A 15,693-nucleotide genomic window follows, 5' to 3' on the forward strand; every position below is an offset into this window, starting at 1 on the left:
CAACCTAGCAATCCCATCTCTGGGTATATACCCAGAGAAATATAAATAATTCTATTATAAAGACACATGCATATGTATGTTCATTGCAGCACTACTCACAATAGCAAAGGCATGGAATCAACCTAAACGCCCATCAATGATAGACTGCATAAAGAAAATGTGGGACATATACACCATGGAACACTATTCAGCCATAAAAAAGAATGAGTTCATGTCATTTTCAGGGACATGGATGGAGCTGAAGGCCATTATCCTTAGTGAACTAATGCAGAAACAGGAAATCAAATACTGCATGTTTTCACTTATAAGTGGGAACTAAATGATGCGAACACATGGACAAATGGGGGGAACAACACAAACTGGGGCCTATCAAAGGGTGGAGGGTGGGAGGAGGGAGAGGATCCAGGAAAAATAACTAATGGGTACTATGCTTGGTACCTGGGTGAATAATCTGTACAACAAACCCCCATGACATAAGTTTACCTATGTAGCAAACCTGTACATATACCACTGAACTTGAAAGAAGAGTTAAAAGAAAAGAAAGTGAAATTTGACCTATTTTAATTCAGGGCAAAGATTAGAAGAAACATAAACTGGCCACAGTCATACTCTAATTAATTGAAATTACTCCAAAACTGGTATGTTAAATATGACATAACAAAGCAAAAAGGTAAAGATAGGACTAGAGCAGGCCCATTCCAAAGACAGTAAATACTTTGAAATGACTAGAAATCAGAGGATATCCTTGAGAATCCTGAGAGATGAACCAAGAAAGTTGGACAAGACCTTTTATTCTATCTTTGGAATTTGAATTTTATTTTTTGGTGGAGAGTTCCTGAAAGGTGTTAAGTGTGCAAGTAATATGATCAGATTTCACTTTAAAAATATGTAATGTCTGATAAATTTATTTTCACTAGTGTGAGAAACACAAATTTACCCACCCAAACCCAAATAATGGACTTGGAGACATGAAGAACAGCACAAGTGAGACTTTAATGGCGGTCTTGCAAGATCCGGTGTCTGGTAGGCAGGCACACCTGGGCCAGTTACAGTGTGTAATTTATCTCATAGCATGTAAGTCCCTCCCCTAGTTCGTCACTGGTGGAGTTCTTTGGGGTTACAATCTTCCCAGACGTCGCCTACGTTTCACTATCCCCACTATAAAGTTATACCCCGGTCCCCTTCCCTGCTTAACTTTGAATTTCCCAATAACAAAACTTTCTTGCCTTTAATGGGCTGACCCCTCCTCTACATTCTGCTCACTTTTCGTGACCTTCTAGGTGCATGAGCCATGAGGTTTCTTACATCCGCTAGCTGGCTGCCAGTACTTAGATTTATCATGCCTTAAAAATTGACCATTTAAAATTTTTTTTCATAATCAGCCAATTTGGAACCTGAATTAAATTTTAGAAGGAGGGAAAGGAGCCTAAAAGTTAACTGTTGGGTACTAGGCTTCATACCTGGGTGATGAAATGATATGTACAACAAATATTTCTGACACATGCTTACCTGTGTCACAAACCTTCACATGCAGCACCAAACCTAAAATAAAATTTAAAAAAATTTAGGAATGTATATTGTGTGAGATACATTAATCATGATATCTATTAAGAAAATAGATATCATACAGCTTATGCAAAAATGAACAAGGAATTAGAAACTTAGTGCCTTTTAAGACTTTTCAGAGTAAACATCAGGAGAATAATGGAATTTTTTAAGGTAGAAATAAATACAAAGCAGGTAAAGGAAACAGGATATAATAACACTTACTTTGGAGCAAATAACCTATGTAATTTACCAGAAATTAGAAGGCATATAGGTAAGATAAATATAACATTTATTGTCCAAAATGGGGGAACTTTTGAGAAAAAAAAAAGGAAAATCAATAATTATGCTGAGGAAACATGGAAACTAGACCTATTCTTAGACAGCTGGATGTCTGGTCACTACATATAAGAGCCAAGCAAACATAATAAAGATGACTGTTAAGTTTGTACTACAGCAATGTGGAACCAGTGTTTTGTTTTCTACCAAAACAACACTTGGCTAAAACTAATGATGTATGAGAACTTAAAGATATAAAGAAACCAATTCAGTATTCTCCATTAAAATCTAAGAAGGCCAGAAAGGCCTGAATAATCATAACACTGAGAAATCAAGAAAAGATGGGCCAGGCACGGTGGCTCATGCCTGCAACCCCAGCACTTTGGGAGGCTGAGGCAGGAGGACTGCTTGAGCCCAGGAGTTTAAGATTGAGACCAGCGTGGGCAACATAGCAACATAGCAAGACCTCATCATTCTCATCGTTAGACATACACAAACACACACACACACACACACACACACACACACACACAAATACAAATTCTGTGGCTAGTAAAATTGTGGTGGAATCAAATAGAACTTAAGAATTATAACTTGAACTAAACTTGTATTGGTTGTGGATTTAAAGAAAAGGGGATGAATTGGGGAGATTTAATTGTTCAGTGTTGTATAATAATATGTGCTTTTGGAAACTGTAAGTTAAAGTTAAACATTTATTTACCTTTTCCCTTTTCTTATTCTTTGTTTTCTCTTCCTTAAGTTACAAGACTTCTCAAAGCCTTAATTCAGTAATGCACATTACTCTAAGTGGAGAATATATTCTTTCGAAATATTTTATTTCAAAATATATTTTTCTTAGTACTCTTATTATTACCTATAATGAGATTCCATAGAAAATATTTTTAATTGAAAAGGAAAATAAGGTACAAAAAGCAAAAAGATAGAATGGCAATCCCAAGTCACTAATTAGTTTGTGTCAAAGCAAGATTAGTTCTCAGGTAGTTCAAGATTTCAATTTTTTTTTTTTTTTTTTTTTTTTTGGTGTGGAGTCTCATTCTGTCACTCAGGGTGGAGTGCAGTGGCACGATCTTGGCTCACTGCAACCTCCGACTCCTGGGTTCAAGGGATTCTCCTGCTTCAGCCTCCTGAGTAGCTGGGATTACAGGAGCGTTCCACCACGCTTGGCCAATTTTTGTATTTTTAGTAGAGACAGGGTATCACCATGTTGGTCAGGCTGGTCTCAAACTCTTGACTTCGTGACCCTCCTGCATTGGATTCCCAAAGTTCTGGGATTACAGGCATGAGCCACCGTGCCTGGCTCAAGATTTCAATTTGATAGCACCCCCATTCCCCCTTTTTTGTAACACAGTTGAAGTCATAGAAGTGAATGAGAATATGAGAATACCAAGTAGAGTGATACAGGAGTGGAGAAGCCTACCGGCTAAATTATTGGGAAAGGGCACGTACTGGGAAGAAGAAAGTAATGTCTTAACACAAGGACTAATATAAAATCTAAGTGAGAAAAGTTTCAAGAAGGAATGTAGAATTAACTGAGTAAATCATTTTAGAAAACTAGACAAGAAGAAAAACTAATTAAAGGACATAACAGTAGGAGGTGTAGGAGTGGATAAAATTTATAGTTAGTATAGAAGAATTCATAGCATGGTCAAGTGAAGGTTCAGAAGATGGATAAAAAATTAGAGAGTGGGTGGAGGTCATATACACTAATATCAAATATTATTTTTATAACCCAATGGTAACTAATAGTCGATGACTCTTTAGGAAGGGTCAAGCAAGGCAAACAAACACACTAGGAACTTGTCCTGATATAACCCAAATATTAAATATATGTAGCATCCTATATATGCATGAATTCAATTAATATATGAAATATATATGTCATTTATGGGATTGTGTATACACATTTATGCATATACACAATCATCACCAACTTGGAAATTGTGTATGTGTATATATACACAGATTATCTATGTGTATGTGTATGTGTATCTATCTATATATATACATAATTTTAAAGAAACACTTTTTCTAGTTTTCAAAATGAGTATTATGAATATATTTGTAGACATATGTAGAAGAATAAGTATAGAGAAAAAATAAAAATGCGTGCAGTAGGAATTAACTATCCATACAAAGATCCAGCAAAAGTAATAGGCAATTTAATCAAGAACATAGCAAATATTAAGACAGAAAGGAATTATGAATTTCAACAAGCAGCAGTAAGAAATGGCTGAGATGGGACTAGGAAGAAAGTGAAGCTTGATTAAAATTTAACAGTATAATTCAAAAAGTTATTCATCATTGTTGAATAATTAATTTTTTATGAATGAAACATATTATGGAAAATTAAAAACATCTTAAGCAAAAAGTGACATTTCTATAATTAATAATTAAAATAAATGTAATAATGATAGATAATCCAATTATGTGTATTCAGTAAAATATTAATATATTAAGTTAATCTAGAAATATCTGCCATTAAATTTGTCTCTTTCTTTATTTTAAATCCCATTACCTATGTTATAAATATATTACACAAAGTATTCTTACTATTTTTCATAATAGTCTAATATTTCTGTATTCATACTCATTTAGATTCCTCCAAAACTCTTAAATTTTCTAACCTGTCTAAGATCTACAATTTTGTTCATATAATTTAAAGTTGTCTAGGAATAGGCAACATAATCTAAACATAGTCTTTTCATTTACAAATCAGGACTATATTCAGTATTACAATTTATTTTCTAATACATAAGTAATGACAAAATAGATTGGTTGAATTAATATCAGTGATGCATTGTCATATCATAAGTTTCAAAAGAGCAAAATAAGAAAATTTTCTGTCAGTGCCAGGCTGGAAAAAAACAATATACGTCGTGTTGGTCTGTCTCAGGCATACTTCCAGTCAATGAATACAGAGAAAATTATATCCATTATAAGGTAGAATTAACTTTTCCAGGCATTCCTGGTGTTTATTACATGAAATAGAGCTCTAATGTCCTATTCACTGCTTACCTGAAAAATAATTCATTTTAAATTAACATATCACACTTGTCTTTTCCTTGGATCAATTTCCTATTAGTATAATTTATTTTATTTATAGACTACCATTAATAGAGTGAACTCTTATTCTGAACTGAAGATTCACACTGTAATTCATATAAATATGCCTATATTTTCTCACATAAACTCAAAAATTTCATTTTAATGACAAGTTTTGTCATGAACTCATAAAAGATTACAGGGGCTTTTACACTAACACAATTCAATTTATGTTTGGATATGTTTAGAGAGTGAGAGAAGACCAGATTGATAAAATAAATTTTATAAAAGCAAAAATAGGCCGGGCAGGCATGGTGGCTCACGCCTGTAATCCCAGCACTTTGGGAGGCTGAGGCAGGCGGATCACGAGGTCAGGTGATAGAGACCATCCTGGCGAACATGGTGAAACCCCGTCTCTACTAAAAATACAAAAAATTAACCAGGCGTGGTGGCGGGCGCCTGTAGTCCCAGCTACTCGGGAGGCTGAGCCAGGAGAATGGGGTGAACCCAGAAGGCAAAGCTTGCAGTGAGCCGAGATCGCGCCACTGCACTCCAGCCTGGGCGGCAGAGCAAGACTCCATCTCAAAAAAAAAAAATAATAATAATAATAATAATCATTTAAGTTTTTTACAGAGAAAGAGAGTGTGAGAGAGAAAGAGATACTTTTATCGTATATAAACTCAGCTATAGTGAGGACACTGGCTGTTTTAACCTGAGGATACAAAAGAAAATGACATAGTCTTTGTTCCTAAAGTTATTTAAATTCAATATTATTTTGAAAAAGAAAATATACCAAGATCTGGATAGTCATGAGAAGCTTTCATGATAGGTTGAGCTTGAACCAATAACTTAACCTATAAATTGATTTACTGTGGCATGTGTATGTACACTCAACACCAGTCAGTCTACCTATGAACACCAGAAGTTGAAGTCACCTGAACTTGAACCTCTGAAATTTTTAATGCCAATGTACTGTCTCCAGTCAAACACTTCTCTTATATCAGTCATTCCACTAAATGTGTCTTGGGATATCTGAACTTCCACTTTATTAAAACTTCTAAAGAAATACTCTAAGTGAAGCAGTGTAATAATTAACATAGTTGTTTTTAGGTGTTTACTAGAGTTTCTTCGGCATTTTGATGGGTTGTATAATTACTGAAACCCTATGGCTTAATTTTAAATATTGACTTGGCCATTTACTAACTGCCAGATACTGGTTAAACTGCTTAGTCTATCTGAACTTCTCTTCTTACTTGTAAATTAAGGATTATAGTAGTAACTACTTCAGTAAATGGGCTTAAATTATGTAAAACCCATAGAAGAGGACCCTGCAAATAATAATTAGAATATATACTGAATGTTCACTACTATTACTAGTACCACTATTACTTCTACTAGTACTACTAGTAGTAGTACTAATGTTATTATTACTACCTAGGAGATTATTTGCTAACATTAGTATCAGCAATATAGCTCTCTACTCTTGAATAGTTAGTAAACTTTTACCTGGAAATCATTTACTTTTTAAAGTTGAATTAATGACAACAGTTCTACCATCCAGGATTAAATGAATTGATTATCATTTTAATTAGCACCTTAGTGAATGTAAGAGTGTCTTACTTAGCTGTATGTAGGAAAAAAACTGAAGCAATGGTTGCTTAAGAAAAAAAAATATTTTTTTAATAGAAGACCAGAGATCATTGGAAACCTAGATTCCTTATGTCTTTCTCCCATTTCATACTTTGTATAAAGCTTCCATCCCCCAGTTTCTTTCATGATTCGAGATGGCGGCTAGAGTTTGAGCTAGAAGTCTTTTCACTGAGGAAAAGGAAAGGGAAGTGGAGCAAGACCCAAACAGCATCTATCTTCCATCTGAGTAGCACTTTAAAGAAGCTCTACAAAAGTGATAGCATCTGAATGTTTGTTATTTACTTGTGAAATGCAAACTACTGTTCATGATATAGAAACTCCATATGCTTGGATCTAGTTAATGTGGAGGTCAGTGATCTCTCCCAGAAGATGTTTCAATTGTACCTTGAGAAAGAGTTTAAACTATTATACTATAAAAGGTCTAGAGATGTTAAAAAGTACAGAATAATATTTGGAAAATAATTAATAACTAAATATTGCCAAAGGATGTTGAAGACCTACTGAGAACTGATGCTAGGAAAGTAGTGTGCTGCTAGGACAAGAAGGTATTCATGTCCTTTGTAGGGACATGGATGAAATTGGAAATCATCATTCTCAGTAAACTATCGCAAGAACAAAAAACCAAACACTACATATTCTCACTCATAGGTGGGAACTGAACAATGAGAACACATGGACACAGGAAGGGGAACATCACACTCTGGGGACTGTTGTGGGGTGGGGGGAGGGGGGAGGGATAGCATTGGCAGATATACCTAATGCTAGATGACGAGTTAGTGGGTGCAGCGCACCAGCATGGCACACGTATACATATGTAACTAACTTGCACATTGTGCACATGTACCCTAAAACTTAAAAGTATAATAATAATAAATAAAAAAGAAGGTATTTGTAATCTAAGATAGAATAAAATAAAAATTATAATTTCTAACATGAATTGGGTACTTACTGCATGCCATGCACTTATAATGGTCCACAGAGAAGGTATATACTGTTCACATGTCCAGAAAGAAAACAAAATGACTACTGCTTCTAAGAGATTTTAGTGACCACCTAAAACCTCTAAAGTGTCAGCCTCAGTATCAGTAAGTGAATGGTAAAGTCAGCATCAGGATCAAATATAGGAGCTCTAATTCAAGAGCCATCTTTCTTATTGGTATTTTTAATGCATGGAATGCTCACAATTTTATTTTCACAGTACATTATAGGTCTTTTTGAAACCATTCAAAATTTTAAGGAAAAATTTTAAAGTAAAATTCTGAAAGCAGATTGAGAAATAGGAGAGATAAATGTTTAAAGGTGGCAAAGAGATCTAAAATATTCTATTTAATTATTCATTCATTTATTCATTGATGCTAAACATAGTGGGAATATGTGAGGTGAGTCTCCTACTTTTTTTGAGGTGTACAGTGTAGTGAACTTAAATACGTAAAATAGCATAGAAACACACATTGGCCAGGCGTTGCTAAAGAATAGGTCTTTTTCCAAAGTAGTGTTTACATGAGGGGTATTTTTATCCCTAATACAACTTTAAACTAAAAACTTGTTTTCTGGTATGTCTCCCAGCAGGAAGAAATGAGATTTGATTGTTTCCCACTAAGGTTAAAGAATATAAGACATTTAGGAAATTGAAATTCAGTACAAAGTATAATTGAAACAACATATTCTAACAAACCAGATGCATTTTAATATAATTTGCTATAACAACTTATTTCTTTTTTAACATTTGAGAAGATGCTTGAGCAATTGATCCCAGACTATAGAAACTGATTCAAACTTGCTTCAATTATATTTTCAATATTGTTTCTATAATGAACCCCTTGTAAAAATGATTTAAATTACTATATATTTTCAGGCTCTTAGCATTTTAGAATAATCACCACCACATAATTGACAATATATATTATAAGCAATATTGATATTAAGTACTGTGACACCTGAATGGCTATTTCTCTTTCAGCATATTGGCTATAATACATTAAAATAACCAGAAAAGAAAGTATTCAAAATATAAAATTAGTTTTAAAAATTACTAACTGTTCAAAACCAGGGAAAATAAGACAAAAAGCATTTTAATACTGAAGTACAGTTCTAACAAACAAAAAACTTATCTTACTTCATTTTATCTACTGTATTTTTCAAAGTTCATATATTCTCCCTAAATTCTCTGATACATGATAAAATTATTTTCAAAATGGTTGAGTTTTTTCATTTAGACGTGCTTTCACTAACATGTTGATCAAGTCTAGGTAAATAACATAAGCACAATCAGCTTAGTCTTTTGTAGCATAAAAATTAGAGTACTGAGAGGTGAAGCCAGATGGACTTCCTGGGTTGCGTGGGGACTTGGAGAACTTTTCTGTCTAGCCGAAGGATTGTAAATGCACCTATCAGCACTCTGTGTCTAGCTAAAGGATTGTAAATGCACCAATCAGCACTCTGTAAAAATGCACCAATCTGCAGTCTGTGTCTAGATAAAGGATTGTAAATGCACCAATCAGCACTCTGTAAAAATTCACCAATCAGCACTCTGTGTCTAGCTAAAGGATTGTAAATGCACCAATCAGCCCTCTGTAAAAATGCGCTCTGTGTCTAGCTAGAGGATTGTAAATGCATCAATCAGCACTTTGTATTCCCAATGCACCAATAAGTGCTCTGTGTCTAGCCAAAGGACTGTAAATGCACCAATCAGCACTCTGTAAAAACGCACCAATCAGCACTCTGTGTCTAGCTAAAGGATTGTAAATGCACCAATCAGCACTCTGTAAAATGGACCAATCAGTACTCTGTAAAACTGACCAATCAGCACTCTGTAAAATGGACCAGTCAGCAGGATGTGGGTGGGAACAAAAGGGAGTAGAAGCAGGCCACCCCAGCCAGCAGTGACAACCAGCTTGGGTCCCCTTCCACACTGTGGAAGCTTTGCTTTTTCACTCCTCACAATAAATCTTGCTGCTGCTCACTCTTTGGGTCCGCACTACCTTTATGAGCTATACCACTCACCGCGAGGGCCTGCAGCTTCATTCCTGAAGTCAGTGAGACCACAACCCACTGGGAGGAACAATCAACTCTGGACTTGCCACCTTTAAGAGTTGTAACACTCACTGCGAAGGTCTGTGGCTTCACTCCTGAAGTCAGTGAGAGCACGAACGCACTGGAAGGAAGAAATTCCAGACACATCTGAACATCTGAAGGAACAAACTCCAGACACACCGTCTTTAAGAATTGTAACACTCACCACGAGGGTTGCGGCTTCATTCTTGAAGTCAGCGAGACCAGGAACCCACCAGAAGGAACCAATTCGGGACACAGTACTAGCATTGTATGATTTAGCATTAGGTTTGCTGCATGTGACATGCTTAATCCAGATATCTCTCTTTCTCTCTCTCTCTCTGTGTGTGTGTGTGTGTGTGTATATACATAGATATATAATTGTTATTATTATTATTCTTTTACTTTACAGGGATCCCAGAAGAGCAAACAGTCCCGGACTAATAGAGTAGCTCTACAGTGCCATCAGAGCTGGAGGCCCCTTCTATTTGTTCATTCTGTCATCCTTAACATGTTCTTTCATTGTTATGGTTTCAAATCTGTTCCACTTCAGTCACCATGCCAACAATCCAGTATAAAAATAAAGGAATGGAGAGAAAAAATAAAGATGTGCCCTTTTCTTTTTGGCACAATTATGATCCTATAATCTATATTACCCTTAACTGGCTTTTGCTGTAATAAAACCATAACAACTGTAATCTCAACTAATAGGGAGACAGAGGCAGGAGGATTACTTGAGCTCAGGAGTTTCAGCTTGGGCCACAAAGCAAGACCCAGTCTCTGAAAAAGAAACAAAACAACAAGATACAACAATAAAATCGTAACAACAAAACACTAAGAAATCATTTCAGGTCAGTACATATTTACCACACAAAAACTAATGTAATATTAATGGATGTGTAAGTTTTAAAATTTTTTTTCATAAATGGAAGCAATGTTACAAGGGAAACACTTGGGAATGTCTTGCATTCTTGTGTGAGTATAACATTAGATAATTTTTTTAGAAATATAATGTCTAGGTAAAGGCATATAATATTTAAAATTTTGAAATATGTTGCCAAAATGTCCTCCAAATGTATTGATTCATAATTCTAACAGCAATGTTGAGTATATTTGTTCTTTTACACACATTTCAAAAATATATATTTTCAAACTTGTTATTGTTGCCAATTTTGTAGAATGAAATGGGTTTCATTATTTAGTTGGCATTTATTTAATTATGAGTGAGTTGAATACTATTTCGAATGTTTTGGGCCTTTTCTTTAACTTTTTATGGTTGAGAGTGACGTAAAATTATCTCATACTTAAAGAGCATTCATAATACATTACTTTCATTTCAGGACAAATTATAATTATTTTGTGCATTTAGCATAATTATTTACCTTTTTTAGAACTGTAGGACAAAACATTTTAACTGTATCTAAGTGGAAATGATGGCAGTGGTGGCCCTTCTGAAGTAGCTGCTGTGAAGATGCCAGTTGCAGCAGGGGAGGCATGGCTGAGACTGTGCCCTCTGTGGAACTGGCAGGGGCTGGGAACCGGGGGAGCCCTGCCCCCTACCGAATTGGCAGGATGGGAGCACCGCCCTCCTGGGCACAGAAGCAGCCACCCAGCCATAGCTATGGACCCAGGTATCTCTGTGCTCTTGGGGGCCCAGGAAGCCCCTGCAGGCTTGAAAGTTCCTGCTCCCATTCCCAGCATCCACTCCGGGACAGAGAAAAGTTGTGGCCAAGCCTGGGCACTGTCGCAACCCTGCCGGGTGTGCATGCACTTAGAGTGACTCTGACATGCCAGCTCCCTGCCTCCTTAGCACCCTCTGGACTTTGGGTGCTGACGAACATGGGAGGGAGGCTGAGGTGGGGACTAAGGGCAGCTTAGCGTGGGCCTTCCACCCCTTGGCACAAACAGCCTGGGTGCTGTGGATGGCATGTTGATGGCAGGAGACAGACAGGTTCATGGGTGGAAAGGGGCAGATCCCTGGTGAAGCCCCACCTTCAAGCCAGGAACAGCCTGAAGCCTGTGGGCTGGGCTGCCAGTTCTGTGGAAGCCTGGTGAAGTCTGCCACCTGGAGTGAGAACTTATGCTGCTTTTCCAGGCCTCCCCATGGCTGCCCATGGACCAATCAGCATGTACTTCCTCTCTTCTGAGCCCATAGAAACCCCAGACTCAATCACTTAAACAGACGTCAAGACTACCACTGCAGAAAGGTATTACTCCACTCACTGGGACAACTTGCCTGCAGAAAGGAGCTACCTACTGCGGATCTCCTCTCCACTGAGAGCTGGATACTTATTGGGATGACTTGCCTGTGGAAAGGAGTTACCCACTTCAGGTCTCCTAAGAACTGTTCTGTTGCTCAATGAAGCTCCTCTCTGCTTTGCTCACCCTTCAGTTGTCCACATACCTCATTCTCCCTGGACATGGGACAAGAAACTTGGTAACCGCTGAATGGTGGGACTGAAAGAGCTGTAACACAAACAGGGCTGAAACACACCCTGCCCACACACATTTGCATCGCATGGGCAATGAGAAGGAGAGAAGAACTGTGGCCCTATGAGGGGCCCAGGTCTAGGGGCTCCCTGAGCCAAGGCTGTGACAATCTCTTCAGGGCTCTCTGTTTCCTGGTGTCTCTAAGCTTCTGGGCACACCGTGTTCCCTTTGTCGAGACACGGAAGCCACATGCAGTACATCTGGTCCAGCTGCAGCCTTGCATGAATCTGCCCAGAGTGCCACAGCAACCAGCATGCCTAGCTCTGTGCAGTGCCCAGACCCCATCCTTGCTCACCCACACACCTCTCATCACTCTGCACTGGGCTGGCCCTTGGCAGCTGTGGGATTGAGCCTGGTGGCATGAGCTGAGCACAGCCTGCCAGGCTGAGTGGACAGAACTAGCCCAGCAGGCATGAACCAAACTCAGGTGGAAGGCACCACTGACCACAGAGGTTTTTGGCTGGTGAACTGACACCCCAAGGATCCTGTGAAAACAACACTCATCACTTGTCTTATCATTGAGTGTTTATGAGTTTAAAACTATTGATTAAACTACCTAATGCCCTGGGCTTTTTAGCTACTTAGACTTTGGGACAATAGTCAATTCAGATATTGGCATTTTTATATCAATACTTGCAGAAAAATTCATGGTACCATTGTAGTATCAATAAACATATTCTAAATAAATCTATGTTCATCCACACACATAGAATAACACTTTTAACAAGTTTCATTAAGATGGATAAATATGACATCAAAAAGGCACGGCATGTTGTGTAGGTCACAGACTGCAAAAAGCAGATAATTTCAAATTCCAGCTTAATCATGAATAAGCCACATAATGTGATAAATATTTACTTGTTAATTCATGAATTTTACTTGACTTTCTGTCCTATGAAAAAAAATTAAGTCAAATCCTTGCATAAATAACTGAAAATTATTTTCATTATCTGAAGGGCTATTAGGAAGATTTGAAATATTAATATAACAGAATCTCAACAAATATTTTATGCCACTTTTAGAATGTTCTTTTGTTCAATAAACAAAATGGTTCTCAGTTGTCTTCTTTGTGGCATGTAAAGTCTGCTGCCTAAATTTCAAAGCTCATCACTGTCTTGATTTTTTTTCTCCACAATTTGCTAATTCCTTACTCTGATGTTATAATCTGCATAGACCTTACACTCAGGCAAGAGGAGTCCCACCCATGGGCCCCACAGCTAGTAGAATTTGTATGTCAGAAATGCACACGCATAAAATAAGTTAATGAAAAACTTGTACACATCTCTCAGGAAGGAAGACAGCATTAAGCCTTAGAACATTGCAACCCGTAATCCTAAGTGTTTGCTCTCATGCTTTACAGCATTCATACTCCAGTGAATTTAATGTACACTCCCTTCACTTATATTCTGAAAACAAAAATCACTGCATTCAAATGCTCTGAAGGTTTATAAATCAGAGATATTCAAGGTGAATTGCAGTCAGAATTTGTGCAGTGTTGTCCTTATTTGACTAAAAGACAAATAAATAGACTTGTCAAATATTTCCTTTCAAATGGCATGAATGGAATATATTCTTGTTTAACAAAGTGTCATTTCCCAGTATTGTCCAGCATCTAATTTCTGCCTTTTCTTTGTGTTTCAGTCTGTGGTTTAGGGGCTTCTCACAAATTAGCAATATATTCCCAACAGTTGTTTGGCAGCTGAGGAACATTTTGTACCTAAATACTTTCATTATATTTGTATATATGTAGGTATAGGCCTAACATGAACAAATCATGATACTGATTATTTACATGGGTGACCAGATGAGTATTGAACATTAAAATAGTGAGTCACTTTATTTTTGTAAAATTATGTATAAAATTTAATTAAATTTTTCAAAAAATAAATATACATTTTTAGAATTTCACCTACATTCAAATAATTTTGATATATAAGTTAAAATGTTTAGACATAAGATATGTGAGCTCTACTTGAATTGTTTCTAAAAGTCTAGCAAATTCCAAGGGCAGATCTGTTTAGTCCAGGGTGTCCAAACTTTTGGCCTCCCTGGGCCACATAGGAAGAAGAAGAACTGTCTTGGGCCACACGTAAAATACACTAATACTAACAATAACTGATGAGCTTAAAAAAAAAGTCACAGAAAATCTCATAATGTTTTAAGAAAATTTATGAGTTTGTTTTGGGCTCCATTCAAAGCTGTCCTGGGCCATATAAGGCCTGCAGGCCATGGGTTGAAGAAACTTTGTTTAGTTCATGTTATTTGTGCTTCCTAGGTTGTAGCAACCATTAGGAGCAGGCATTTTATTGATCAGAATTGTGGTATTACTACTTGTGCTTATGCAAGTGGGCTTCAGGTTCGGATGGAAAAAAGCAACAATAAAATTACAGGATGAAGTGATAGTAGTTATCCTTGGTGACACATTTATTTCATAAAGAAGCTTAGAAATCTGTACCCTTTTATCACTGTTATCTCAAGGGTACTTAGAATCTTTATGTGAATTGGCAGAGAGACTACTCTGGTTTACCTAAGGTGGAAAGGTTATGCATGTATGTGTGCATGTATTTATCTATCTATCTATCTATCTATCTATCTATCTATCTATCTATTTATCCATCAACTGGTTGAGAATTTTGAATGTGTGTAACTAAGGGAAGAATCTGGCCCTCCTGGCTCAAGAACTTTTAATAGTATTGGATTGAAACCCAGTGAGGGAGCATTAAAGTTTGTTCAGTTACTGAGAACATGTAGCCTCAATCACCTTTGCCTTTGTGTCTTCGTTTTCATCTCTCGGCTTTCACCTTCTCTATGAAGCAGTGACAGAAATCACAAATGTGGTGCAGCATGGAAGTTCAGTCAGGCCAGTGGGAAAAATTTTAAAGATAGTTATAAGAAATAGACACAAACCTTCTTGGAAGGCTGGAGGGGGGTTTCATAAGCTCCACTAATAGATCAGGCTGAAGGCAGCCTAATTCTTACCTTGAGTTAATAGCTCAGGGTGCAGATACAAAGGAATGTAGAGTAGTTTATCTAAATACCTTGTTTACTCCTGTGGTCCTAAGACCAGCCTTTGATCAACCTTGAGTACATAACTGCTCTCTATTCAGGAAGTTGCAATGTCACAATGACAATTACCCTCTAGTGGTGTTTACTCAAGACCTTTGTCATTTAATCTATACTGAATAAATGCGAGCTTTGCTGGCTGATAGGGCTGTGGCTGCAACTCTACAGCACCATCCTTGGTGCAGGTAAGTGGCCCAGACCCTCTGCAGGACTGACAGGCAAAATATCTGTGTCAGTGTATGTTATTCATCCATCCTTAGGTCAGGGTCTGTGGAATAGACCTCTGCAGTGTGAGGTAGGGGTTGGGGGGCACAGGTTGTTATAAAGTCCTTATTTGCCCTGGTTAAACACTCCCTGTTGCACTACTATTAAAATTTGCACTTTAATGCAGTGAATGTCAAAAACTTTATTTCTTTTTCTAAAAATTATAATTTTGGTTAAATTTTGAGTCATCACTATATGTCAAATATTCTGTTAGAACATTTTCCATTCACTACCTGAGGAATCCTGCTAAAAATTAATGAGCTAAAGGTACAGGCCCTACAGCTAAAC

General features: G+C 37.0%; 1 annotated feature.

Annotated features, from left to right (window-relative positions):
• Positions 14,854-15,469: an enhancer, noted in NCBI's record as "OCT4-NANOG hESC enhancer chr12:75213947-75214562 (GRCh37/hg19 assembly coordinates)". NCBI's record gives its function as "activates a minimal SCP1, AML or CMV promoter by ChIP-STARR-seq in naive and primed H9 embryonic stem cells {active_cell/tissue: H9 hESC(naive and primed)}" and the evidence as "EXISTENCE:reporter gene assay evidence [ECO:0000049][PMID:30033119]".

This window comes from Homo sapiens, chromosome 12, assembly GCF_000001405.40.
Source record: "Homo sapiens chromosome 12, GRCh38.p14 Primary Assembly".
Taxonomy (NCBI): domain Eukaryota; kingdom Metazoa; phylum Chordata; class Mammalia; order Primates; family Hominidae; genus Homo; species Homo sapiens.